The sequence below is a fragment of the Homo sapiens genome, chromosome 16 (genome assembly GCF_000001405.40).
Source record: "Homo sapiens chromosome 16, GRCh38.p14 Primary Assembly".
NCBI classification, from domain to species: Eukaryota; Metazoa; Chordata; class Mammalia; order Primates; family Hominidae; genus Homo; species Homo sapiens.
This window is the reverse complement of record NC_000016.10, coordinates 9,115,109-9,141,721: the sequence shown is the minus strand read 5'-3', so window position 1 is coordinate 9,141,721 and position 26,613 is coordinate 9,115,109. Positions and strand designations below refer to the sequence as shown.

General features: G+C 46.7%; 1 protein-coding gene across 1 annotated transcript in view, besides 10 other annotated features; it reads right to left on the bottom strand.

Moving 5' to 3' along the window:
• Window positions 4,530–5,030: an enhancer, noted in NCBI's record as "H3K4me1 hESC enhancer chr16:9230549-9231049 (GRCh37/hg19 assembly coordinates)". NCBI's record gives its function as "activates a minimal SCP1, AML or CMV promoter by ChIP-STARR-seq in naive H9 embryonic stem cells {active_cell/tissue: H9 hESC(naive)}" and the evidence as "EXISTENCE:reporter gene assay evidence [ECO:0000049][PMID:30033119]".
• Window positions 8,540–8,589: a silencer, noted in NCBI's record as "silent region_7187". NCBI's record gives its function as "represses an Ori minimal core promoter by ATAC-STARR-seq in GM12878 lymphoblastoid cells {active_cell/tissue: GM12878}" and the evidence as "EXISTENCE:reporter gene assay evidence [ECO:0000049][PMID:35858748]".
• Window positions 13,485–14,684: an enhancer, noted in NCBI's record as "BRD4-independent group 4 enhancer chr16:9220895-9222094 (GRCh37/hg19 assembly coordinates)". NCBI's record gives its function as "activates an origin of replication core promoter dependent on BRD2, P300/CBP, MED14 and CDK7 cofactors, and independent of BRD4, by STARR-seq in HCT116 cells {active_cell/tissue: HCT116}" and the evidence as "EXISTENCE:reporter gene assay evidence [ECO:0000049][PMID:35650434]".
• Window positions 13,576–13,655: an enhancer, noted in NCBI's record as "active region_10375". NCBI's record gives its function as "activates an Ori minimal core promoter by ATAC-STARR-seq in GM12878 lymphoblastoid cells {active_cell/tissue: GM12878}" and the evidence as "EXISTENCE:reporter gene assay evidence [ECO:0000049][PMID:35858748]".
• Window positions 13,726–13,835: an enhancer, noted in NCBI's record as "active region_10374". NCBI's record gives its function as "activates an Ori minimal core promoter by ATAC-STARR-seq in GM12878 lymphoblastoid cells {active_cell/tissue: GM12878}" and the evidence as "EXISTENCE:reporter gene assay evidence [ECO:0000049][PMID:35858748]".
• Window positions 13,816–14,110: an enhancer, noted in NCBI's record as "tiled regions #4742 and #14408 exact overlaps); HepG2 Activating DNase unmatched - State 5:Enh, and K562 Activating DNase matched - State 5:Enh". NCBI's record gives its function as "activates a minimal TATA promoter and a strong SV40 promoter by Sharpr-MPRA in HepG2 and K562 cells {active_cell/tissue: HepG2 | K562}" and the evidence as "EXISTENCE:reporter gene assay evidence [ECO:0000049][PMID:27701403]".
• Window positions 17,516–17,810: a silencer, noted in NCBI's record as "tiled region #9627; K562 Repressive non-DNase unmatched - State 14:Gen5'". NCBI's record gives its function as "represses a minimal TATA promoter and a strong SV40 promoter by Sharpr-MPRA in K562 cells {active_cell/tissue: K562}" and the evidence as "EXISTENCE:reporter gene assay evidence [ECO:0000049][PMID:27701403]".
• Window positions 17,516–18,233: a biological region, named in NCBI's record as "Sharpr-MPRA regulatory region 9627".
• Window positions 17,718–18,233: an enhancer, noted in NCBI's record as "H3K4me1 hESC enhancer chr16:9217346-9217861 (GRCh37/hg19 assembly coordinates)". NCBI's record gives its function as "activates a minimal SCP1, AML or CMV promoter by ChIP-STARR-seq in naive H9 embryonic stem cells {active_cell/tissue: H9 hESC(naive)}" and the evidence as "EXISTENCE:reporter gene assay evidence [ECO:0000049][PMID:30033119]".
• Window positions 20,087–26,613, bottom strand: part of HAPSTR1 (HUWE1 associated protein modifying stress responses) — a 29,992-nt gene continuing 23,465 nt past the window's right edge. The window contains exon 4 of the mRNA NM_014117.3: window positions 20,087–25,054. Within this exon, the coding sequence (NP_054836.2) occupies window positions 24,810–25,054 (245 nt within the window). The 3' untranslated portion in view covers window positions 20,087–24,809. The remainder of the gene's footprint in view (window positions 25,055–26,613) is intronic.
• Window positions 26,116–26,410: a silencer, noted in NCBI's record as "tiled region #1845; K562 Repressive non-DNase unmatched - State 17:Gen3'". NCBI's record gives its function as "represses a minimal TATA promoter and a strong SV40 promoter by Sharpr-MPRA in K562 cells {active_cell/tissue: K562}" and the evidence as "EXISTENCE:reporter gene assay evidence [ECO:0000049][PMID:27701403]".

Genomic DNA, 26,613 nt, shown 5'->3' with positions numbered 1-26,613 from the left:
CAGAGCGGAATACGAGAAAGTCAGAGTCAGGTTCGGCCCAACGCAGTGGCTCACGCCTGTAGTCCCAGCATTTTGGGAGGCCTAGGTGGCCAGATAACTTGAGGACAGGAGTTCGAGACCAGCCTGGCCAACATAGTGAAGTTCTGTCTCTACTAAAAATACAAAAATTAGCTGGGTGTACTGGCGCACACCTGTAGTCCCAGCTACTTGGGAGGCTGAGGCAGGAGAATCACTTGCACTTGGGAGGTGGAGGTTGCAGTGAGCCGAGGTCATACCAATGCACTCCAGCCTAGGCGACAGAGTGAATGAGACTGTCTCAAAAGATAATAATAAAATAAAAAATAAAATAACTGCTTTATCCCAGTATTAAAATATTAGTACTTACTGGTTTTTTAATCAATGTAGGGTAGTAACAGGCATTATATCTTCTTCCCAAATGTTATATTTAATATTGTTAAATGTTTGTGGTTATTAAATGTTAAAAGTAACGATACTGTCCGGGCACAGTGGCTCATGCCTATAATCCCAGCACTTTGGGAGGCTGAGGCGGGCAGATCACGAGGTCAGTAGATCGAGACCAGCCTGGCCAAGATGGTGAAACCCCATCTCTACTAAAAATACAAAAATGAAATGAACCCATCCATAGGTTACAAAGCACAAAGTTAAACTAGGACCATTAGCTCCTGAAAAAAAAAAAATGCCCAGATACGTTTTTGGAAATGGAGAAAGACCTGGAAAAGAATGTGACTAAATTGTTTTGATCAGTCCTATCCTATAAGACCTAGCAAAAAAAAAAAAAATTGTTTTGAAAGCTGGGTTTCAAATGTGGGACAATTAAGCTATGTATTTGTAAACATGGCTATTGAAAAGAATGTATGACTTTCCTCCCAATTAAAATACCATGCAAATGTGATGCAAATGTGTAAGGCTGAGCTTTGTCAGCTAAAACTAATTAACAGAACAACTCAAATGATATCATTTCTAGGTGAATTTGTTTGTGATCAGACCATTTTCTTTTTTTTTTTTTCAGACAGAGTCTAGCTCTGTCGCCAGGCTGGAGTGCAGTGGCGCAGTCTCAGCTCACTGCAACCTCTGCCTCCCGGGTTCAAGTGATTCAGGAGTTCGAGACCAGCCTGGCCCACATGGTGAAACCCCGTCTCTACTAAAAATACAAAAAACCAGCCAGGCGTGGTGGGATGCATCTGTAGTTCCTGCTACTCGAGAGGCTGAGGCAGGAGAATCGCTTGAACCCGGGAGGTGGAGGTTGCAGTGAGCCAAGATCGTACCATTGGACTCCACCCTGGGTGACAAGAGTGAAACTCTGTCTCAAAAAAAAAAAAAAAAAGATTCTATGACATAAAAATCTGGTATGAGGTAGTGCAGGGCTGGTGTGATGGGTCCACAGTATCAGGAAAACGACTTTCTTCTGTCTTGTTGCATGTTCTTCATTCTCCATTCCGAAAACGACGTCTTGTTCCAGATGGCTGCTCCGTCTCCAGCCATTGCACCTGCAATCCAGATCAGTGGAAGGCGGAAAGAGGAGAAATAGGGCAACACTCTCAAGGACTTTCCCACAGTTTTACCCACATCCCATTGGCCAGAACGTACCACATGGCCACACATAGTTGCAAGGGAGGCTGGGAGATGTAGTCATTATTCAGTGTAGCCATTTGCCCCAGCTGAAAACCAAGTGAGAATGGGTCTTGAGGGATCATGAGTATGAAGTCTTTGCCACAGGTAGATCCTATCTTTAATCCCCTTTTACAAACGAGGAAACTGAGAAGTTAGTGACCTGATCAAAGTCACAGTGTGAATAGGTGATGAACTGCAAAATATTTTGTGACACTTTTCTTCATGCACCTTACATTAGTAAAGTCTTAGTTATTAACCCTTCAACATTGCCCAGGAGACAAAAACACCACTTTGGCTGGGCGCAGGGCTCACGCCTGTAATCCCAGAACTTTGGGAGGCTGAGGCACGTAGATCACTTGAGGTCAGGAGTTCGAGACCACCCCGTCTCTACTAAAGATACAAAAATTAGCCAGGCATGGTGGTACTCGCCTGTAATCCCAGTTATATGGGAGGCTGAGGCAGGAGAACACTTGAACCCTGGAGGCAGAGGTTGCAGTGAGCTGAGCTCACGCCACTGCACTCCAGCCTGGGTGACAGAGCGAGACTCCATCTCAAAAAAAAAAAAAAAAAAAAGAAAAACGCACATTTAAAATTTTGTTCTTTATACTGAAGTCATTGCTTATTTTATCAAATAGAAATTTTTCAGGGCAGCTATGCCTGAGGCAGAGAACGTGTGCAGACTTAACAGAAAGATGGGGTTTCTCTATCTCCGGGGAAAGGAGGGCAAAGGGGTCCACCACGCTCATGCCCACGGAGGGCTTAGGGGTCTGCCTTGCTCATGCCCACGGAGGGCTTGTGAGCTGCTCCGATGCCGCTTTCCCCCATCCAGGCAGCGCTCCCTGTGGCCATAGCTGCAGCATTACTGCCCTCTACAGGCCGCCTGGAGCCCCGACATGGGAGTTCAACCACAGCTGCGTCTACGCCAGGGACAGGGGACAGAGAAATGGAGCCCCTCCTTCCCACCTTGCTCGTGGCAAGCATGGGGAAACTTCAGTGGGAAGAGCGAAAAAGGAGAGAAAAGTGGGGAGATCGATGAGGAAAGATCATGATTGTGAGAAGCGTGGGAGCAAATTGGGGAGCGGGTCAGGGAGGAACATGGGAATCAGGACTACGTGGCTTTGAGGAGTCACACGGGGGGCTACCTTCCCCCACATGCCAGAAAATCCAGACTGCAGAAGCCCATTTAGGCACTGTCTCTCCTGCCCAGCCGGGCCCCACCAGCTCACTCATTGCCAGCTCCACGTCAGCCCCTCTCTTGTATCAAGCACTGTGCCAGGGATGAAGGATGCAATGGTTCAAGAGAGAGAGGGTCCCCACCCAACCCCTAAAAAGGGAGCAGGACAATGACACCTAGAATTCAATGAATAATAAGCTGGGACAAGCATGATGAAGGCAAAGAATGGGGGGAAGGTGGGAAAATTCGCAGGGGCCTGGGTGGGACCTGGTTTGAAACAAAAGCTGAAGATGGATGAGGACCCGACCAGGGGAAGATGGAGTGGGAGAGGGGCAAGGGGAGCCCCCAAGACCGAGGGACCAGCAGGTGCAAAGACTCCAGGTGAGCTAGGACTGAGCCTGCCCATGGAGAGGAAGCGGGGCCAGGGTGGCAGGGGCAAAGTGGACACTCCAGAGAGCCATGGGCAGGGACGGTGTCCCAATCAGGTCTATACTTAGGAAGGTTTAGATTTAGATTTCCATGGCTTCTGGGTGGAACACGGGTTGGGAGCAGGCAGGACAAGAACTTGTGAGGAGGTCACTGCAGATGTTGGGTGAGGGGGGACGTTGGCCTGAACTAGGTCAATTGTGGAGGGGTGAAGAGAGGCGGGTGGACTCGAGGGCTATTGGGACAATGAAAGCCAGAGGACTGTGTCTACACAACAGGAGGCCCCACATGGAGGGATTAAGAGTGTGGGCTCAGTCCGCTGTGGTGTCTGACGCCTGTAATCCCAGCACTTTGGGAGGCGGACTCAGGAGGATGGTTTGAGACCAGGATTTTTTTTTTTTTTTCGAGACAGAGTCTCACTCTGTTGTCCAGGCTGGAGTGCAATGGCACGATCTCAGCCCACTGCAACCTCAGTCTCCCAAGTAGCTGGGACTACAGGCACGTGCCACCACATCAGGCTAATTTTTGTATTTTTAGTAGAGACTGGGTTTCACCATGTTGACCAGGCTAGTCTTGAACTCCCAACCTCAAGTGATCCACCCACCTCAGCCTCCCAAAGTGCTGGGATTACAGGCGTGAGCCACCACGCCGGGCAGAGACCAAGAGTTCGAGACCAGCCTGGGCAATAGGGTGAGCTCTCTTCCCTATAAAAATAACGTTTTTGGTTTTTTGTTTGTTTTTTGAGACACAGTTCCACCTTTGTTGCCTAGGCTGGAGTGCAATGGCGCAATCTCGCCTCACTGCAACCTCTGCCTCCCGGGTTCAAGTGATTTTCCTGCCTCAGCCTCCCAAGTGGCTGGGATTACAGGTGCCTGCCACCATGCCCAGATAATTTTTTTGTATTTTTGGTAGAGACGGGGCTTCACTATGTTTGCCAAGCTGGTCTCAAATTCCAGACCTCAAGTGATCCACCCACCTCCACCTCCCAAAGTGCTGGGATTACAGGCGTGAGCCACCGAGCCAAACCCAATTTATTATTTTTTTAATTTAGCCGAGTGTGGTGGTACACACCTGTAGTCCCAGCTACTCGGAGGCTGAGGTGGGAGAATCACTTGCGTGAATCACGGGAGGCAGAAGTTGCAGAGAGCCGAGACTGCACCACTGCACTCCAGCCTAGGCAACGACAGAGTGAGACACTGTCTCAAAAAACAGTAGCAACAGCAAAGACCAACTTAAAGAGGCTCCTACTAGCCAAAGATGGGACCATTTGGGCATCAATAAAAAAATAACTGCATACTAAATATGTTTCTATCCATGGGTTTATAACAATGTTAAAAATATTTTTTAAATGCTCACTGGTCCCCGCTGGAAAATTCTAGTGAGCCAATTCATTTTTTTTTTTTATGGGGGAAAGAATCAAGTATTTATCCTTCCTTTTCTTTGCAAATTGCACCGCTGAGTAATCAAATGGGAGATGAGGGAAAGTTTGTGTGCATAGAACTCCTCCATGTAATAAATGAAAAGGAATAACAGAATGAGAATACCATCACTTTGCAACCCCAAATGAATCCGTGGATCCAGGCACTGCACACCCACAGCTGCTGCCATCAGCATTATGCGCATCCTGTGACATAATGTCTGTGACAATCAGACATTATGCGCATCCTGACGGGAGGACGCTACACCTCCTATGAGGCAGTCTTGCCACATCAGTCAAATTGGAACCTCAGCAAACCTCTGTACTCAAGGCCGGGCGCAGTGGCTCACGTCTGTAATCCCAGCACTTTGGGGGGCCAAGGCGGGCGGATTACTTGAGGTCAGGGGTTTGAGACCCGCCTGGCCAACATGGGAAACCTCGTCTCTGCTAAAAATACAAAAACTAGCCAGGCGTGGTGGTGGGCGCCTGTAATCCCAGCTACTTGGGAGGCTGAAGCAGGAGAATTGCTTGAACCTAAAAGGCAGAAGCTGCAGTGAGCCACGATAGCTGCTACTGCCCTCCAGCCTGGGCGACAGAGCGAGGCTCCATCTCAAAAACAAAAAACCACCACATAACCTCTTCAAGCCTCCTCTATGTTGTAGCACGTGTCAGTACTTCATTCCTTTTTATAACTAAATAATATTCCATTATATGGATAGGCCACTTTTGTTATCCACTCATTCACTGGTGAATACATGGATTATTCCACTTTGGGGCTAATATGAAAAATACTTCTATGAACATTTTTCCATTCATTTTTCTATGAACATATGTTTTCAATTCTCTTGGGTATATACTTAGCCCCAAAGTTGTCTGATAGCTTTTCATCGTTCTTAAAATGAAATCTGAGCTCTTTATCCTGACCTGTCCTGTCTTGCATGGTCTGAGCCCTGCCTGCTCCTCCCTCCGCTTCATCATCCACTCCCCTCCGGCTTCCCCAGGGGCTCCAGGCACTTCCTTCTGGTCACTGACCCAGGACCTTTGGCAGGGCTGTTCCTAACACCTGTATTTAGCTGTCTGCCATCATTAGCCTGTAAACTGCACAGAGCAGAAGCCACATCCTGTCTGTTGCGGCAGGGCACAGAGCCTGGCCGGTGATAAGAGGTCAATGAATACTTGATCCGCAGTGTCCTCATCTAAACTTTGGGTTAAATCAGAGAAGAGATTCGTAACCTCAGTCCATCGATACAGGAGTGAGCTTCACAGTCAAGAAACCTACTGAAATGTCTGTGTATTCTTCCAGGGAGAGGGTCTGCAGTTGTCAGCAGATTCTCAAAGGGTCTATGCCAAGCCCATCACCACCAAATCATAAGTATCCCGGGTCCAGGTCAATCATTTTCAAACTTCAGTGTGCATCGGAATAACCTGGGAAAAGGTCGGGGGCGGTGGCTCACACCTATAATCCCAGAACTTTGGGAGGCTGAGGCAGGTGGGTCACTTGAGGTCAGGAGTTCAAGACCAGCCTGGCCAACATGACGTAACCCCATCTCTACTAAAAATACAAAAACTAGCCAGGCGTGGTGGCAGGTGCCTGTAATCCCAGCTACTGGGGAGGCTGAGGCAGGAGAATCGCTTGAACCTGGGAGGCGGAGGTTGCAGTGAGCCGAGATCACACCACTGCACTCCAGCCTGGGAGACAAAGTGAGACTCTGTCTCAAAATAATAAGAACAACACGGGAGAGTCTGTAAATAGTTAGATATTCAGTACCCTTCACCCCCCAGCACGGTCTGACTTGCGCATTTGGGATAGGCTCTGAAATCTTTATCACTAACTGTCTCCTACCTTGGACGTCGGATGCAGGTCCAAGGACCATATTTTAAGAATGTTACCCCAAAGATTTCCTTGACCTACCTAAGAATCAGCATAAGGCATCTTGAAGTGTCTTTGTAGCACTGACATTCTCAGAGGCTTCCACAAAACAAACGGCCCTTTCAGGCATGGAGGGTGCAGTAATGAGAAAGGCTTCTCTGCCCCTGGGGCTGGAGCTCAGCACTGGGTGAGGGGCTCCAAGGGTCATGTGCCCTGTGCTCCAGGAGCCTCTAGATGGCAGTGCCCAGCCAGAAATAGAGCCAGAGCGGGTGGATGCGGGAGGCTGTTGAGTCCTGAGGCTGCACATGGGAGGGTGAGGAAAGCCCAGGGGCCAAAGCCCCCACAACTGGCCCCAACCGGCTCACAGACAGGTGCAGCCAGGCTGGAACCCCGGATGCTCAGACACTTGTCAACTGAGAAGTGAATGGAAGGGAGGGAGGAAGATCATATGAGAGTTTGAATTATTAATGATAGTAGCTAACAATTATTGAAAATTTGCTGCCAGCCACTGTTCTCTGGCCAAATTGAGATCATCCTGTTTATATTTCTCATGATATTACAAGCATTTTTCCATGTCTTGAAATATTTTTCAAGGCCAGGCGAGGTGGCTTATGTCTGTAATCCCAGCACTTTTGGAGGCCGAGGTGCGAGGATTGCTTGAGCCTAGGAGTCCAAGACCAGGCTGGACAACATAGGGAGACCCCCATCTCTACCAAAAAAAAAAAATTTTTTTTTTAATTAGCTGGGCATGGCGGGGCACCTCTGCGGTCCCAGCTACTTAGGAGGCTGAGGCAGGAGGATTGCCTGAGCCCAGAAGATGGAGGCTGAAGTGAGTCCTGATCATTCCACTGCACCCCAGGCTAGGTGACAGGGAGCAATCTTGTCTAAAAAAAAAAAAAAAAAGTCTGGGCTTAGTGGCTCACACCTGTAATCCTAGCACTCTGGGAGGGTGAGGCAGGCAAATTGCCTGAGCCCAGGAGTTCAAGACCAACCTGGGCAACACAGCAAAACCACATCTCTACTAAAAACACAAAAAATTAGCCAGGCATGGTGGTGCCTGCCTGTAACTCCCAGCTACTCAGTAGGCTGAGGTGAGGGTCACGTGAGCCTAGGAGGTTGAGGTTGCACTGAGCCTCAAGATTGGACCATTGCACTCCAACCTGGGTGACAGAATGAGACCCTGGCTCATAAAAAAAAAAAAAATTCAAGAGTATGCTTTAGGCCAGGCACGGTGTCTCACGCCTGTAATTCCAGCACTTTGGGAGGATGAGGCAGGCAGATCACAAGGTCAGGAGTTCGAGACCAGCCTGGCCAATATGGTGAAACCCTGTCTCTACCAAAAATACAAAAAAAAAAAAAAAAAAAAAATTAGCTAGGCATGGTGGTGCACACCTGTAATCCCAGCTACTCAGGAGGCTGAGGCAGAAGAATTGCTTGAACCCGGGAGGTGGAGGTTGCGGTGAGCCAAGATCGCGCCACTGTACTCCAGCCTGGGCAACGGAGGGAGACTCCATCTCAAAAAAAAAAAAAAAGTATGCTTTATAAAGGCTTCATAATTTTCCATCTAATGAAACTAATAAGATGTGATGAACCAGTCGCTATTATTAGGGCTTTAGGTTATTCCTCACTGTCTTCCACTCCAAGTACCACACTTCATATTGTTGCATCAGAATCCTCTTTTGGCCAGGCACAGTGGCTCCCGCCTGTAATCCCAGCACTTTGGGAGGCCAAGGCGGGGGATTCAACTGAGGTCGGAAGTTCAAGACCAATCTGGCCAACATGGAGAAACCCCCCCCTCTACTAAAAATACAAAATTAGCCAGGCATGGTGGCACATGCCTGTAATCCCAGCCACTCAGGAGGCTGAGGCAGGAAAATAACTTGAACCCAGGAGGTGGAGGTTGCAGTGAGCCGAGATCAAGCCATTGCACTCCAGCCTGTGCAACAAGAGGGAGACTCTGTCTCCCAAAAAAAAAAAAAAAAAAAAAAGAATCCTCTTTTAAGGCTGGGCACGGTGGCTCACGCCTGTAATACCAGCACTTTGGGAGGCTGAGGCGGGTGGATCACCTGAGGTCAGGAGTTCAAGACTATCCTGGCCAACATGGTGAAACTCCGTCTCTACTAAAAATACAAAAACTAGCTGGGCGTGGTAGCAGGCGGAGGCTGTGGTGAACCGAGATCACGCCATTGCACTCCAGCCTGGGCAACAAAAGTGAAACTCCGTCTCAAAAAAAAAAAGAAAGAAAAAGAAAATTCTCTTTTACAACTGTTATTACCTCTGAATATATGTTTAGAAACAGGATTATAAAACCCAAAATTAGGACCACTTTTGAAGATCTTAATAGATACAGCCAACTTTTTTTGTTTTGAGACAGTCTCGCTCTGTTGCCCAGGCTACAGTGCAGTGCCGTGATCTCCGCTCCCAGCAACCTCTGCCTCCCAGGTTCAAGCAATTCTCATGCCTCAGCCACCTGAGTAGCTGGGATTACAGGCACACGCCACTGGGCCCAACTAATTTTTTTTTTTTTTTTTTTTTTAAGTAGAGACAGGGTTTCACCATGTTGGCCAGGCTGGTCTCGAACTCCTTGCCTCGAGTGATCTGCCCGACTCGGCCTCCCAAAGTGCTGGGATTAAGGCGTGAGCCACTGTGTCAGGCCCAGCCAACTTATTTTTCAGAATGTTTTAGCACCTCTCAGCAGCAGCATGTGAGCGGGCACGTCATCTCAGACTTCCCAACCCCAAGTAATAGCCACTTATCTTTTCAAAACTGTATTCAAAACACAGTATCACTTTTTTTTGTTTTTCCTTTTCCATTTCCATTTTTGAGACAGTCTTGCTCTGTCACCCAGGCTGGAGTGCAGTGGCTCGATCTCAGTTCACTGCAACCTCCGCCTCCCGGGTTCAAATGATTCTCCTGCCTCAGCCTCCCGAGTACCTGGGATTACAGGCGCCCACCACCACGCCTGGCTAATTTTTGTATTTTTAGTAAACACAGGGTTTCACCAGGTTGGCCAGGCTGGTCTCGAACTCCTGGCCTCAAGTGATTCACCCACTTCAGCCTACTAAAGTGCTGGGATTATTGGCATAAGCCTCCACGCCTGGCAACTTCTAAAAATTTGAATCTCACAAAATAATGTTGAGCCATTTTTTTCATATATCAGTTGGTAATTTTTATTTCTGATTCTGAAAACTCCCTGGTCCTATCTTTTATTTTTCTTTTTTTCTTTTTTCTTTTTTTTTTTGGAGACAGAGTCTCACTCTGTGGCCCAGGCTGGAGTGCAGTGGTGCGATCTTGGCTCACTGCGACTTCTGCCTCCCAGGTTCAAGTGATTCTCCTGCCTCAGCCTCCTGAGTAGCTGGGACTACAGGCACATGCTACCACACCCGGCTAATTTTTTATACTTTTAGTAAAGATGGGGTTTCACCATCTTAGCCAGGATGATCTCGATGTGCTGTCCTTGTGATCCGCCCACCTCAGCCTTCCAAAGTGCTGAGATTACAGGTGTGCACCACCACGCCCGGCCCCCTATTTTTCTTATTTGGCATATAACCTTCTTATCCACATATAGGAACTCTGTGGGTGGGAGGGATTAAATTTGTCCTGTTTGCCAGTTCCATTTTCAATATTTTTTATATTGATGATAAACAAAAGCTTACATTTATGCTCATAATCAATCTTTTATTTTAAAATATATTTTCCATTGCCTTTATGTTTATAAAAAATATTCAGGCTGGGTGCAGTGGCTCACACCTATAATCCCAGCACTTTGGGTGGCAGAGGCGGAGGATCACTGGAGCCCAGGAGTTAGAGACCTTCCTGAGCAACATAGCGAGACTCTGTCTCTACAAAAAAAAAAAAAGAAAAGAAAAAAATTTTTTAATTAGCTGGGTGTGGTGGTGCACACCTTTAGTCCCAACTACTTGGAAAGCTGAGGCTGGAAGATCAATTGGGCCTGGGAGGTTGAGGCTGCAGTGAGCCACAATCACACTACTCCACTTCACCATGGGTGACAAAGTAGACCCTGTCTCTCAAAAAATAAAAATAAAGTTAAGTACTCGCTATACTTCCCACCAGTTTTTTAATGTTTCCATTTTGCATTTAAGTCTTTAATGTCAATATATTCGGGTACCTGAGGTGATGCTCTAACTTAATGTGTTTTTCCCCAAGAAGTCAGTTTTCCCAACACCATTAACTGATTAACTCATCCCTTCCCTGTCATTTTGTGCTATTTCCTGATGAGATATCAACTTCTTATATTAACCAGGGCATTTTCTGGAGTATCTATCCTGTTTCAGTCTTTGTGCTGACACCTAACTTTGAATTATTACAATTTTGTCATGTTTTAATTCTCTTTATTTTTGAGACGGAGTCTCATTCTATTGCCCAGGCTGGAGCACAGTGGCACGATCTTGGCTCAGTGCAACCTCGGCCTCTCAGGTTCAAGCAATTCTCCTGCTTCAGCCTCCTGAGTAGCTGGGATTACAGGCGCCCACCACCATGCCTGGCTAATTTTTTGTATTTTTACTAAAGACGGGGTTTCACCATATTGGCCAGGCTGGTCTCAAACTCCTGACCTTGTGATCCGCCCTACTCGGCCTCCCAAAGTGCTACCATTACAGGTGTGAGCCACTGTGCCTGACCTTAATTCTGTTTTATCTCAAAATTTATTTAGCTATTCTCAGCTGTGAATTCTTTGAGCCAAACATGAATACAGTACTTCCGATCAGTTTCCCAAAATCCCTTTGGATTTGTGTTAGAACTATAATTTGCAAAGAAATAGCACTTAGGTGTGAAGAGGGTATGAAACCTCATCTTTACAAAAAATAAATTAGATGGGTCTGGTAATGCACACCTGTAGTCCCAGCTCGGTAGGCTGAGGTGGGAGGATTGCTTAAGCCTGGGAGTCTGAGGCTGCAGTGAGTTATGATTGTGTTACTGCACTTCAGCCTAGGTAACACAGCGAGACCTTGTCTCAAAAAAAAAGTGGGGGGGCATTTTGCTTAGGGTCACACAACTCAGTAAGTGGTGGGGCCAGGATTCAATCAGGCAGCCTGTCTCCAGAGACTGCGCATCGGCATTATTTTGTTTAGTCCTGTCGTATTTTCTTTAGTATTCTAAACCAGCCACCTTAATAAAGAATTCTATTTTTCTCATAAAGAAAAAGCATAATTTGGAGCCCGCCACAGTGGTGTGCACCTGTAGTCCCAACTACTCAGGAGGCTGAGGAAACAAGATCACTTGAATCTAGGAGTTTGATGCCAGCCTGGACAACATAGTTGAGACCCTGTCTCAAAAAAAATTTTAATTAAAATTTTAGGCCAGGAGTAGTGGCTCATGCCTGTAATCCCAGCACTTTGGGAGGCCAAGGCGGGTGGATCATGAGGTAAGCAGTTTGAGACCAGCCTCACCAACATGGTAAAACCCCGTCTCTACTAAAAATACAAAAAAATTAGCTGGGCGTGGTGGCGGGCGCCTGTAATCCCAGCGACTTGGGAGGCTGAGGCAGGAGAATTGCTTGAAATCGGAAGTCGGAGGTTGCAGTGAGCCGAAATTGCGCCACTGCACTCTAGCCTGGGCAATAAGAGCCAAACTCCATCTCAAAAAAAAAAAAAACACTAAAATTTTAGGCCAGGCACAGTGGCTCACGCCTGTAATCCCAGCACTCTGGAAAGCTGACATGGGCAGATCACCTGAGGTCAGGAGTTCAAGACCATCCTGGCCAACATGGTGAAACTCCGTCTCTACTAAAAATACAAAAATTAGCTGGGCGTGGTGGCAGGCGCCTGTAATCCCAGCTACTGAAGAGGCTGACGCAGAAGAATCACTTGAACCTGGGAGGCAGAGGCTGCAGTGAGCCAAGATTGCACCACTGTACTCCAGCCTGGGCAACAGAGCAACACTGTCTCAAAAAAATTAAATTAAATTAAATTTTTTTAAAAGGCATAATTCAGTGGAAAAAGCATCAACAGGAAACTATTCTCTCTCTCTCTGCTTACACAGGGAACCACCACCGTTTATCTGGAGTGAATAAAAAGCCAAGTTAAACACATAAAAGTGACCCCACATGTCATTCTCCTGGATCACATGCTCCACGGAAGCAAGGGTTGTGCTCTGATAGGATCAGGTAAGGAAATGTTGCACAGGGGAAGAGGGCCTGGACCTTACAGAGAGAAAATCCTAAGTGAGAGTCGCAACTGGACATCTCACACAAATCACTCCACCTTTCTGAGCATCAGCAAAACAGGCACAAACACGTCCCTTGGGGATGTGCATGGAAAGCACCCAGGAGCCGGCTGGGGAATGGGCTTATCAAGACGACTGTGGTGACTGGCCCCTCGCATCCCACTGTGGGCATTTCATGAATTCTTGCAGGATTGGTGGACTTCCAGTTTGTCTTGTCCCCACTCTCCTGCCTACAGAGAAGCTAGAGCCTGCTTTGCACACAGCCATAGATTTGTCTGCTGCCAAAGGATAACAGGATTACAGCCACAACCAAGAGCCCTAGGGTCCTATAGAACAGAGCCCCGAAGGGCAGGCCCAGGGCACCACCAGGACCCCACCTGGTAGTGTGGAAACGGGAAGATGTTTGGGGCGGGGGGAGCAGGTTCTAAACCCAGAGAATAAGCACCTGCGAGTACAGTTCACTGATTCCTGAGCATTCCAGCCCAGAACCCCAGATCCAGGACAGGCGAGGGAGCCCATTTTAGAGATGGGGATAGTGAGGCCCAGAGAGCTGTTTCCGAAGGAGCATGGAAGCGTACCTGCCCATTTTCCCAGGTGTCCTGACCCAAGAGAAGCCAAAGACAGCCCTGTCCACAGATGTGCTTGGTGGGTCAACCTGGTCTGTTTTTAAATACACAGGTTCAAGTGTCCTTAAACAGATGTGCACTCTGCGAATCGCTGTGGTCTCAGGCTGCCAGCATCTGAATGCACCACCCCAAGCAAACAGGATGCATTTTCACAATTAACTTGGGGTTTTATCACCCAGTTTGAGACAAAAGGCAGCGGAGCCCAGACAGGGCAGTGAGTTAAACAAGGTTAGCAAGTAAATGCCCAGCACTACAGGTCCTTCTGGGCACAAATGGCTCAGTGAACCAGACTGGGCACTCGGAGACGGAGAGGTGGTTCCTCAGGGGAACTGAAAATCCGGGTGGGGAAAAGAGGACGTGTCTGAGCTGTGGAATCTGGCAGCAGACCCCCCTCGCTTCAAATCCTGACTCAAGAAGTTCTGGGCCCGTTTGTCAGCACCCCATTCGCCACCAGGGACCTCCCAGGACAAGCCCTGCCGTGGGAAAACTGTCGCTTTAAGGGTCTGGTGGGCAGGCCCAGCCATTTCCATGGAGCAGACTCTGAGCTGTTTCTGTCTTTCAAAAACCAAGGCCCCAACAGGAAGTGAGTCACCACAGGAAAATACAGGGTTCCCAGCCTTAGGGGGCTCGAGGCTGACCTCAGATGCCCCCGTGGGGGTCAGGCCTTTGTAGGTGCATGGCTCTGTGGGTGGGGAAAGATTATTTCAGCATTTGCTGACATCATTGAATGGTGTGTGACTGAGGGGAAGGTCTCTAACTCAGCCCAGGTTCATCTGAGTCAACCAGGGTCAAACAGCTTTCACGGGCATCTTTGGGTCACTGACCGGGCAAAGCCAGGCCCTTAAAACAAGAGGTTGTTGGCCAGGCACGGTGGCTCACACCTGTAATCCCAGCACTTTGGGAGGCCAAGGCAGGTGGATCACCTGAGGTCAGGAGTTCAAGACCAGCCTGGCCAACACGGTGAAACCCCGTCTCTACTAAAAAATACAAAAATTAGGGCCAGGTGCAGTGGCTCACATCTGTAATCCCAGCATTTTGGGAGGCCAAGGTGGGTGGATCACCCGAGGTCAGGAGTTCGAGACCAGCCTGGCCAACATGGTGAAACCCCATCTCTACTAAAAATACAAAAAAAAAAAAAAATCAGATGGGCGTGGTGGCGTGCACCTATAATCCCAGCTACTCTGGAGGCTGAGGTAGGAGAATCGCTTGAACCCAGGAGGCGGAGGTTGCAGTGAACTGAGATCGCACCACTGCACTCCAGCCTGCTAAATAAAAATTAGCTGGGTGTGGTGGGGCACACCCGTCACCTGTAATCCCACCTACTTGGAGGGCTGAGGCAGGAGAATCGCTTGTGCCCAGGAGGCAGAGGTTGCAGTGAGCTGAGATTATGCCAGTGCACTCCAGCCTGGGCAACAGTGAGACTTTGTCTCAAAAAAAAAAAGAGGTTGTTGAAAGCACACTAAGAACCAACCAAATGTTTGATGTGCTCGCAGTCCTGTGAGTTAGCTTTGTCACGCCCACCTTCACAGATGAGAAAACTGAGGCTCAGATTAAGTTATCTGCCCAAGTTCCTACCAGCCCACACTCCCCAATCCCCTCCTGATTTTGAACCCAAGCTTGGGCTTGACAAGAAATGCTCATGAGTACCTTTCAGACAGGACAGAAGCCAGACAGATCTGCCCACCCCCCAAACCTTTCAGACAGGACAGAAGCCAGACAGATCTGAGCACCCCCCAAACCTTTCAGACAGGACAGAAGCCAGACAGATCTGCCCACCCCCCAAACCTTTCAGACAGGACAGAAGCCAGCGAGATCTGCGCACCCCCCAAACCTTTCAGACAGGACAGAAGCCAGACAGATCTGCGCACCCCCCAAACCTTTCAGACAGGACAGAAGCCAGAGAGCTCTGCGCACCCCCCAAACCTTTCAGACAGGACAGAAGCCAGCGAGATCTGCGCACCCCCCAAACCTTTCAGACAGGACAGAAGCCAGAGAGATCTGCGCACCCCCCAGACCTTTCAGTGCCTCAGCCCTCTCATCTGTAAGCTGGGAATCCCCTCATTCAACTGCGTACTGGTGTCTATTCAGTGCCAGGGCAACAGTGAATACACACATGCAGACCCTGCCCTACAGCAATAGCAGACCCAAAACACCAGGAAACCAGCAAGGAAAATCATCACAAGGCAGAATGAGAAACAAGGGGCCCAGAGACTCACACAGGAGGAGAGGGTGAAGACATGCCCGGGAGGACACGACAGATGAGCCAGAATAAGGGGGATGGCCTTTCCAAAGAATGGGCAGAAGGACGTCCTGGGAGATGTAAACCACAGTAGTTGTCAAACTTGCAGCTGAAGTGAATGTTAACAAGGGAGGCCTCTGGAGAAGGTTCCATTGGGCAGACCAGGCCCTGCTAGGTCACACCTCAGAAGGAAGGGAAATCTCAATTGCTGGACCCACTGAGAGCCCTGGCCCTCCCCAGGCTCAGAAGGCCCATCTCAGCCACCCGGGGCTTGGAAATACTCCACCCCCATCCCAGTCGGCTCCCCCAGCAGCCTATGCAAGGACAGCAACCACGTCCTCGGGACGTGCCGGCTGCCCAGGCTTCAGCAGCTGGCGCAAAGGCCCAGTGAAGGCTCCAGAAGCCAAGCTGGGCAAGTTGGTTTAACATGGGATTGCACTGGGCTGCATCAGTGTCCCGATGTCAGGTCACAACAGCTTCGCAAGAGCCCACCCTGTCGTTCTGCGCGTGGGTTAAGGTTGACAACAGTGCAGAAACAGTTCCTTTCAGCTGGGTCTGTGACGAGCCAAGGAATGAGTATCACCTAGGCCATTCCTGGTGACTGTCCACCAAGCTTCCTGCCGACCTCAGTGAACCCCCTCCTCCTCCAGAGCCCCTCTTCTCACCTGGGAATGACCTCTTCTCATCTCGGGATGGTTCACAATTGCCCAACTGCTCCAAGTCACCAGTGGAGAAATGGAGAGAGAATGCCATCTTGTGGCCACAGTGCCAGGATTAAAAACTTGTCGAGTGCCAGGTACCCTTCTGAAGTGTTTTAGGAAACACCTCATTTCATCCTCACAACCTTATCATCCTCTTTATGGATGCGGAAACCAAGGCAGAGTAGCTAAAGAACTTGCCAAGATGGGCTAGTGACACAGCCTTTGAACCAACAGGCAGGCTGCACCTGGAAGCTCAGGGCACAGCTGCCATCACAGCCTGTGAGGGCTTCCCAAGGGTCTGCTGGGTGTCCCCAGGGCACAAGGCAGGGGTCCAATCAGTATCCAGCCTGGGGCCACGTAGGGGCGCCGTTGGGTCACACAGACCGTCTCATCGCGTGAATGGAGATATCAGAACCTGCCCGATGGGGTTGGCAAAGGCATTAAGCACTCGGTAATCCTTAGCTTTTTCACTGCAATATCCTTTACATAACAAAAGATGTAGTTCTGCATAGACTGGTAACAAGGCTCCCATCTACTTGAACAGGGAAAGAAGTGGTGTGTATAAGACCCGTTTGGTATATGGTTTTCTAGGAATACGGTATACTCCCCAGACAGGTATTTTGTAACGTTATCACCAGTAGCTCCTGGCCAGGTGGGTAGATTTGGGGTCTATAGGAATACGGGCAGAAAGCTGCTGCACATCACAGGATTCCAATTAATAGGATGGCTGACATACTGCTCGAGGATCAAGGGTCTTTTCACTTTCTGCCGCATCCAACTGCCTTGACCTTGGTCCAGCTTCCCTCGTAGTTGCAAGAGGCTGCGGCGACTCCAGGCTCACCTGCAGGTGACATCTGGGAGCAGGAGACCCTCCAGAAGACTTCACCTGTACCTTCCTATACCATTTCCCCCCTCCCCCAAGTAGTTCTAACCCCAAGTGTAAACAGAGGTAAAGAGATAAACAAGTAGTAGGACTTAGAACTTTTTTTTTTTTTTGTATTTTTAGTAGCGATGAGGTTTTGCCATGTTGGACACAGGTCTTGAACTCCTGACCTCAAGTGATCCACCTGCCTCAGCCTCCCAAAGTGCTGTGATTACAGGCGTGAGCCACCACACCTGGCCAGAACCCATTTTTAATTCTTTAATTTGCTTTGTTTTTTTGAGATACCATGTCCTACCCAGACCTTTGGATTCAGCATGTGTGTCCAGGTGGGGAATCCAGAAATCTGTAAATTAAACCTCCCTCCAGAAGACAAAGCCCCACCAGCTTCCAGCTTCAGGGAGTTGTCGCCAAGGCACACCTGCTGGGTCATCCCTGGTGAGCCATGACTCACCACGCCCTGGGCCCTGTGGGTGCCAACTTCCTCCTACCAAGCCAGTCAAACACCCTGGCCCAGAGGAACGCACTGACTGTGCTGACTTCCCCAAAGCCCAAGGGACTGAGGGTGGGTGGCAGGCGGCCCAAGAGTAGGGGCTGAGTCCTCTGACAGCCCCATCTGTCCTCAGCCGCAGGGCTGGCCCCAAGGAGCCCAGTGCCACTAGCCACCCACCCAGTTAACAATCTGCAAAGGAGCAAAAGCAACATTCCCTCTGCGGAATGTGCCAAAGGTACATTCTGCTGAAGCATGGAAAATCTTGGTGCCTGGGCCCCACCCCAGAGTCCCATCTAGTTCTTCTGGGGTACCACATGCCCAGTGGCAGATTCTAACATGAAGGAAGGATGAGAAACACAAAACTAGAGAGCAAAGAGGAGACGGGGGAAACTGAGGCTGGAGGCCAGTGCAGAACCCAGAAGCGAGCCCTCGGACTCTGAGAAGGGAATCTTATCCAGCCATGCCACGACAAGCACATTTAAAGGCTAACATCTGAGTCCTCACTTCGCACCAGGCATGGTGCTAGGCATCCTCCACACCATAACCTTGAGGGAGGGGCCCGGGAGGCAGGCCGCCAGTGGGACTGTCACCTACACCCTACTGACCCCAAAGTCCTTCTCTTCACCACCACCCTAGTTCTTGACAGACCTAAGGCCCAGGAAGAGGAAAAATAGGGAGTTCCTTGTGAAAACCTAGAAAACTTCAAGCCACCTTTTATGAACTCATTCAAGAAATGTCTATACCTACCCTGTGCTGCATGCTGAGGTCCAGAGAGCCCAGGTTTTCAAGCTGGCTGTGAAATCAACACAGTTGGTCACATACAACATCCTGTTCAGTGAAACAGCAAGAAGCTATAAAGTGCATTTGACATAAAAAGCTAAGAACTGCTGAGACCTGTTTCATCAGTTCTGTGTGTTCATTCACAAAAGGTGTGGCTGGGTAAAAGATCTTGATGGGAGAGGTATTTCTTACCACAGATCATAGTCCAGTATGTCTGAGAAACACTGAGGATGGGCAAGAGGCGAGCCTTCCTGTGCCCAATGCAATTGTGTACGCAAACACAGTTCTATACAACATTCACATTAACCTAAGAGACCCCAAACAGCAAATAAGAACTTCTTGGTAGTTACAAATTTCTACATACACCTTGAAATCAACATGGCCATGGTGATCTTGAGACTCACCATGGGGAAAAGAGTTTGGGAGTGATTAAGCTCCTGCCCACTACACTCAAGGACAGTTTAGCAGGTGATCCCCTTTTCCCCAGGGAACTTCAGCCCTGGCACCGCCACTCCTGAGGAAGAGGTATGAATGGTCTTAGAATCCTTCCTTAAAGCTCTAAGTTATAGTGGCACATACCTTGGTGGGTTTATAGAGGGCATTCAGATTATGAGTCCACAAGCAAATAGTTCTGAGTGTTGAGCCCACTGGACCCACCGGTGCCAAAAGCAGCCCAGTGGTAGCTGGCTGCCCCAGGCACCCCCAAACCCTTCTTCCAGGGTCAAGCTACAAAACTCTTGTCAGCCAGCTGAGCCCTCCTTGTTGCTGAAGCTGCAGAAAACCACAGGCCTTCTGAAGCTCCCAAAGGCAATTCCACTAAGTGATGAGAGCCCCAACACTTCCAGCAGCAACTCAGAGAACACGCCCACCAGGCCTAAAACACAAGCAAATGCTACGGCCCTCCCCAACAGCGGCCGTGCACAGCAACCACACCAGCACCCCATACTCCCTCTACTTGGGCTAAAGGGGAGTAGCTTCCCTGCTTGAGGGTTAAGTACTAGTGAAGTGAGGCAGCCTGTACTTGCCGGCCTGTGGCATCTCCTAGGAGGGCATTCAACTTCAGTTTGAAAAATTAAAATCTCTCTTACATGTGAACAAGCCCCTTCCCTGAAAACTCACCACTTAGTGTGTTACCTATCGAGGCTGCAGTGAGCTATGATCGCACCAAAGCACTCCAGCCTAGGCAAGAGAGTAAAACCCTGTCTCAAAGAAAAAAGAAAGGGCTAATTTTTCTTTTTCTTTTTTTTAGACGGAGTCTTGCTCTGTCGCCAGGCTGGAGTGCAGTGGTGCAATCTTTGCTCACCGCAACCTCTCCACCTCCCGGATTCAAGTGATTCTCCTGTCTCAGCCTCCCAAGTAGCTGGGACTACAGGTGCGTACCACCACGCCCAGCTAATTTTTGTATTTTTAGTAGAGATGGGGTTTCACCATGTTGGCCAGGATGGTCTCAATCTCTTGTGACCTCGTGATCTGCCCGCCTTGGCCTCCCAGTGCTGGGATTACAGGCGTGAGCCACCACGCCTAGCCAAAAAGGGCTAATTTTTCAATGGCATGTTAAGATAAGCTATCAGCCACATTCCAGAGTTCTCCAGGGCTCTGCTGATGGGAGAATTATAAATGGAGATGTAAATGTATCCAACTTCCAAGGAACACAAGTCACTAACATTCACATTTTTTAATTTATTTTTCTATGTTTTCTATTTATTTCACAGATGAGAAAACAGCCCAGAGAGGCAAACTTACCTAGGTTCCCAGACCTGGTAGTAGAGTCAGCATTCAAACCCACGTGATATCAAGCAAAAAGTCTTCCTTCATACGAGCAGGTAAAAAACAGATTAAAACTGAAAGGTCACTTCTGCCAAAGGAAGTATAAATACCCAACACTGGCTACGATGTAAGGGAACAGGCGCTCTTACTTTCTGATGGAAGTATTAACTGGTACCTTGCAGAAGGTACTTTGGCAAGACCCATCAGTATTTTATAGATGAATTTTTTTGACCCAGATAGTTCATCTACAGAAATTTGTCATAGAGAAACTTAAAACATAGGCCAGGCGCAGTGTCTCATGCCTGTAATCCCAGCACTTGGGGAGGCCAAGGCGGGCAGATCACTTAAGGTCAGGAATTCAAGACTGGCCTGGCCAACATGGTGAAATCCCGTCTCTACTAAAAATTCAAAATTAAATTAGCTGGGCGTGGTGGCGCACACCTGTAGTTATAGGCAGGAGAATCGCTTGAACCCGGGAGGCAGAGATTGCGGTGAGCTGGGATCGCACCACCGCACTCCAGCGACAGAGACTCCATCTCAAAAAACAAGAAAAAGAAAACACTCCACTGCTGCATTACTAATTATAAAAAATCTGTAACCTGCATCAAGGCTTATCTGTACAAGGGAATACTATTCTGTCACAAGATTTCACCATATTTGAAACCCCGTATCTAACAAAAATACAAAAAATAGCCAGGTGTGGTGGCAGGCACCTGTAATACCAGCTACTCGGGAGGCTGAGGCATGAAAATTGCTTGAACCCAGGAGGCAGAGGTTGTGGTGAGCCAAGATCGTGCCACTGCACTCCAGCCTGGGTGAGAGAGTGAAACTCCATCACAAAAAAAAAAAAAAAAAAAAAAGATTTCACCATATTACTTCTAATGTATAAAAGACCTGTATATACTATAAGCTGCTGTGTGGCTTGATTTTTGCTGTTTTAAATCTTTTTTTTAAGCACTAAATAAAAAAAAAATGAGGGGCCATCGAAAACTTGACTTGCTACGTCACAGGCTACTGTCTAACTGAACTTCACAAGGAGCCTGCAGATCCCATTATAGGAAGTAAAACCCTGGATATCTCATCCCATCAAACCCAACAGCACAACACACGGTCTGACAGCCAGCCTGGGTGCTCGGGCCTGCTCGTCTCTCAAATGCTGCCCCCACTAAAACATCACACACCTCAAATATTCCAAAGGGAGGCTAGAAGCTGGCCTTATGGGGTAAGGTCATCTAAACCATCAAAGCCGACAACTTTCCAGAAGGGGTAGCAGGTACCATAAACACTTATAACTTTAAACAAGGGGTTGCTCTGGAAGAACCTTTCTAGTCACTTTATTCCACAAATCCAGAATGTATCTCTGAAGATTCCCATCCTCACCATGACTAAATACCTCAGTCACCAATCTAATGAATGAAGCACCAGGTTACAACATACTACATAAAGTAAAATGCAATGAGATTAATCTGCTGACGTAGTCACCACTAGAGGTAGTAGCCAGGCCAAAAACTCAATCATTCTGTTCATAATTTTCTAAACTTATGGCCCCATTTCAAAATCATCTCTTGGCGTCTTGCACTGGCCTCTGAGGCTGACTAGCCCTCTGGGTTGGATGTTGGCCATCCCTCTCACTATAAAGGAAGTTAGCCAGTTTTCACTGTTGAATGGAAATCTTCAGGCCCAAAGCCACAATTATTCGAGTTTAATGAGTTCCAGTAGCCCTTAGAAAAAAACATTTAGAAAGCTAATTCTTTTTTAAAAGCCTAAACTTCATTTGATTGCATCAAAAAGTTATTCAGATGTGATGACCAAAACAAAACTGCAGACAAGCCCCATGGTTTTTTTGTTTTTATTCATTTTATGATTAAGGTGTTTATCACTACTCCAGTTGGGTAAACCACATTGAAGAATCTGACTGCAGGTCTTTAGATTCAGCCAAATGCTTTCCAACAATTTTGCTCTAAAAAATATTAAACATTTTAATACTTCAGCCATGCTCAGAACGCTGCAGTCTAAGGATGAACTTCAACTTGCCCATGCCAAGTTAGGGCGACAGGAGCAGAACTAAGGAGCTATGACGTCTAAAAGAATCAGAGAATCTGGCTTAAGACGAAGAGAGCTTCTGTTCCCCAAAACTAAACTGTCTAGTTTTTAAATCCACCCTTAACCGTTCAAGAAACTGAAAAAGTCAACTTGTTTTTAAAATACCACACAGGTATGCAATCTTCCATGATTTGTTTTGCATCTCAGCTAGCACAGGGAAACCCTTGAAAAACCTAGCTGTCAGAAGTTTTTCCTGAGGGAAATCATTACGCTTCTACTGCTGAGCTTCATGTTTATTCTGTGCGTCGGGGAAAGGAGAAAGCAATGGGACAGAGAAGGGAAAAGTTGCGACTGGGTGACAAATTCATTAGGTGCATTTGAAAGTAAACGCAATGGAAAAAAGTAACAAATGCTAAAGTTTTCTAAAAGTTTAATGAAGCCAATAAGGCATATAAATTGTGTTCTGGCAGACATTAAGACCTGCTTTCTCTTACCAAAGAAAATGGCACGTTTTATCAAAATTTGACAATTCAGAGTAAAGGGTACTGAGATTAAGCTTCAGAGCACCAACTTAAACAAAACAACCAAAAAATTGTTATCCAACGTGGAAAGAGGAGCAAGAACCAAGGCATAAAGGGGAATTAAATATGTGTTCCTCCATCTCAAAATCCTTTTAGGAATAGGAGTTCTGGCCACTTGTGAGCAACACATTGCACCACCAAACCCCAATTCCAGAATCTAAATTTACGATAGAAAAACAAAGGTAACTCCAAACGCATGTCTTGTATATTCCAAAGGGAAGCTTGAAAGTATTCATAATACATAGGCTTGTCTGTTTCAGGTAAAATGACAGATTGCTATAATTCTTCCTGCTATTATAGTCAAACAAAAAATGACCCACTTTCGCAAAAGTTTAGAAATCTCTCACTTTCATTCCTAGTTTTAGTATGGAATTCACTTTTTTAAATAAGGGCTACATCTATAATGAATACAGAACTTCAATTCACACAACATTTCTAACATTCCATTCACATCCCACCCAGTCAATGAATGAACATTTATGGTTAACTCAGCAAAGTTTCTTCACAGAAAGATATTATTAAATGGCTGAAGAAATTGCAAACTTTAACAAAGTGCTGTGAGTAATTACTGGAAAAACCCTTACACTGATTTGCAATGGTCTTTTAAGGATAAAAATAGGAAGTAACTGATACTGGACTACAAGTTTGCAAGGAAACATTTTTCACTGTCCTACTTGATATATAATATAATAATATGATAGAATAAATTACAGTACCTGGCAGGCTGACATCAGTTCTTCATCTAAAAAAACACTATCATTCAGTTCAGGATATTAAAAATGAAGATGAAACATGCTCTAAAACATTGTAGCTACAAGAGGTCTTATATTTACTCAAAAGAGGAATCTATTGAGAACTTTTTATTTAGGTCTACCTAACAGCTAGAGAATCTCCATGCGATTCCATCTTTTCCAGAATGAGATTCCAAACTGAACTTTTTAGGAGAGGGATTGGAGGGACAGGGAGAGTTGGGTTTTGCTATTTTAAGTTGCAATCACATTATTAGTAGATAAAAAAGAGAGCTTTATCATCTTCCACCCATTCCAATGGAAACTGCACTAAGCAGGGACTCCATGAAAAATGTAAAATGATAGACTAGAAAACCTACCCCACCATCCATCTCCCTCTCCCTCTCACTAATACTGAACCAAAAAGGAAGCCCATTCTCAAAGTTCATGACCTCTCTACTTTAGGTCACCTCGAATGCAGTCTACATGTTTACATTTACCATAAGGAAAGTACCCCGCATGGGAAGTAGTGTTTGTCTTAAAACTGAGTACTTTAGGCCTACAGGGTTACTCTGGGGACAGTTTAATAATAATACTGCTACTTTAGAGCACTAACACACACAAAGTGAATCCAATAAAGCTCTGGGCATTGATTCAATATTTAGTATTAATTGCATGACCATCATAGCACCTCTTTACATCACACAATCACCAGAATTAGAAATTGATTTGAAAACTAAAAACAGGGCACAGTCCAATAATTAGAATTGCACACTGTTACTATATAGAAACCAGGTGCATGGTACAGTGCAGCTGCAAAAATGGAAGCCAAATCATGTTTTTAGACAATTTTAGGAACCTGGCAATACTGTTGAAGCAAAATACTCAACACAGCAGGAAATGGACCCAAAAAAAAAAAAAGCATTCTATAACCAAATAAACATCTGATATTTCCTTTCCCTTTGAGAATAAATACAGTTAAGGTCACTTTTAGCCTTGGAACGGATATATGTTTGCCTATGATGATCTTGCTAACGACTACACAATATCTGATGTCCTCTGCTAGGATTATAGTTTTAAGAAAGCCATAATTACAAGAGGCATCTACTATAAATACCTAGAACTTCCTTTTATGGCAACCACTATAGAATTCACTTGTCTTAAACAGTGAACAAGGGAAGATGGCCTCATGTTTCCTTTGCAATTATAGTATATGTTGAGGATCAAGTGGCTTTCAAGCAGCATGGTGGGTGTGAAAATGTTTGCAGTTTAGATCATTCTGTTGCGTTTATGGGTTGGTGAGTCTGTAATGACATCGCCACACTGGGCTGAGGTACGCTTTCTAGTTCCACCATTGTCCAAGTGGAGTGCCATTTCTTCTGATATGAAAGTGTTCAAATCGACATCATGGAGTCCATTTCTCCTTCGACTAGCATTCGATCCACTGCTTACATGTGTAGGAGAGCCTGGGGTACTCGAACGCACGCTTATACTAGCCATTGCACCACTAAGACCTAGGAAGAAGAAAAAAGGTTTTAGAGTTGCTCAATTATGTAACCCTTTTGAAAGCAACCCACTTACTTTCCATGTTGTCACAATGTCAAAGCATGTCTGCCTATTTCCTTTATAAGGGATTACTAGTAAGCAATTAAGTTTTATTCTGGATAAACATATCATCTGGCCTTGACATATATTTTATTGGTAATACTACCAATATCTACAATATTGGTAACTACCAATTACTAAAAGTTACTACGTGTCAACCACCGTGCTAGGTGTACAAATATCTCATTAAATTCTCCCATCTATGAGGTAGGTACTGCACAAAATTTACAGATAAGGACAGGAGACATTTGCTTTAAAGACAAGACATTTTTGGTTACCCAAAGTTACCATTCCAACAGACCCCTCTGATGAGTGTGTATGTGTGTGATGTATTCAGGAGAGCCAGAAATCACTTCCAGGCCTAGGTGGGCTTGTTCCAACATCCCCTCTAGATAAGGTGATCACATAACTTGCCATCCAAAACAGATTACTGTTGAGCCCGAAAAGAGTCACTGTTAAAATTTCTACTGGGACATGAGGTACAAAGTCAGTCTACCCTGGACAAATCAGGCTATGTGATCACCTAAGGTCTGGAATGTATTTGGTAGATATCCTTCAGGACAGCCTCAATCATGAGCCTCTCTAATCCTTCATGGAAGTGGGGAGGGGAGAGGGTTGTGAAGAATCCTGCTGCTTTGTTTTCAACATTAAGAGTTACTGAATCCAAGGCCAGGCGCAGTGGCTCACACCTGTAATCCCAGCACTTTGGGAGGCCGGGCAGATCTCTTCAGGTCAGGAGTTCATGACCAGCCTGGCCAACATGGTGAAAACTCGTCTCTACTAAAAAATACAAAAATTAGCCCGGCGTGGTGGCAGGCGCCTGTAATCCCAGCTACTCGGGAGGCTAAGGAGGAGAATCGCTTGAACCCGGGAGGCGGTGGTTGCAAAGAACCGAGACTGCACTCCATCCTGGGTGACAAGAGCGAAACTCCGTCTCAAAAACAAAAGAGTTACTTTACTGAATCCAGAATATACCCAGCACTCATGGATACTTATTCCTTTCCTTAAACTCTTACACAGTTAAAGAGCCAAACTTACATTCCACTCCTAAACATTCAGGATAAACCTGTGAAAGGTATGAGTCAGGCCAGGAAACACCAAACACAGTGTTGCATTTTTAAAAACCTACCGTCACTGGCAGTGATCTTCTGCCTTAGGAATTTCCCCTTCCACTATTCTCTCCTCACCTAGGGATCTGTTATTGCTTGACTATCAATTAATTTTCAAAGAATAGGACTTATAAGATTTTCAAGTAAGCTTAGAGGTTTCATTTGACAGGGGCCCATTCTTTCTAATCATGAACTCCCTAAAAATGTAGTTTAAATTTGAATTTTAAGTTGAAAAGTCTCTGCCTCCTATCACAAATCTATTACATTCCCCTTGGCGTTCCCCTCCATCAAATATTCTCTGAAATGTTCTCAAATCCATGGCCTCCACTATCATCGCACATGCTGACAATGTCCTGAGG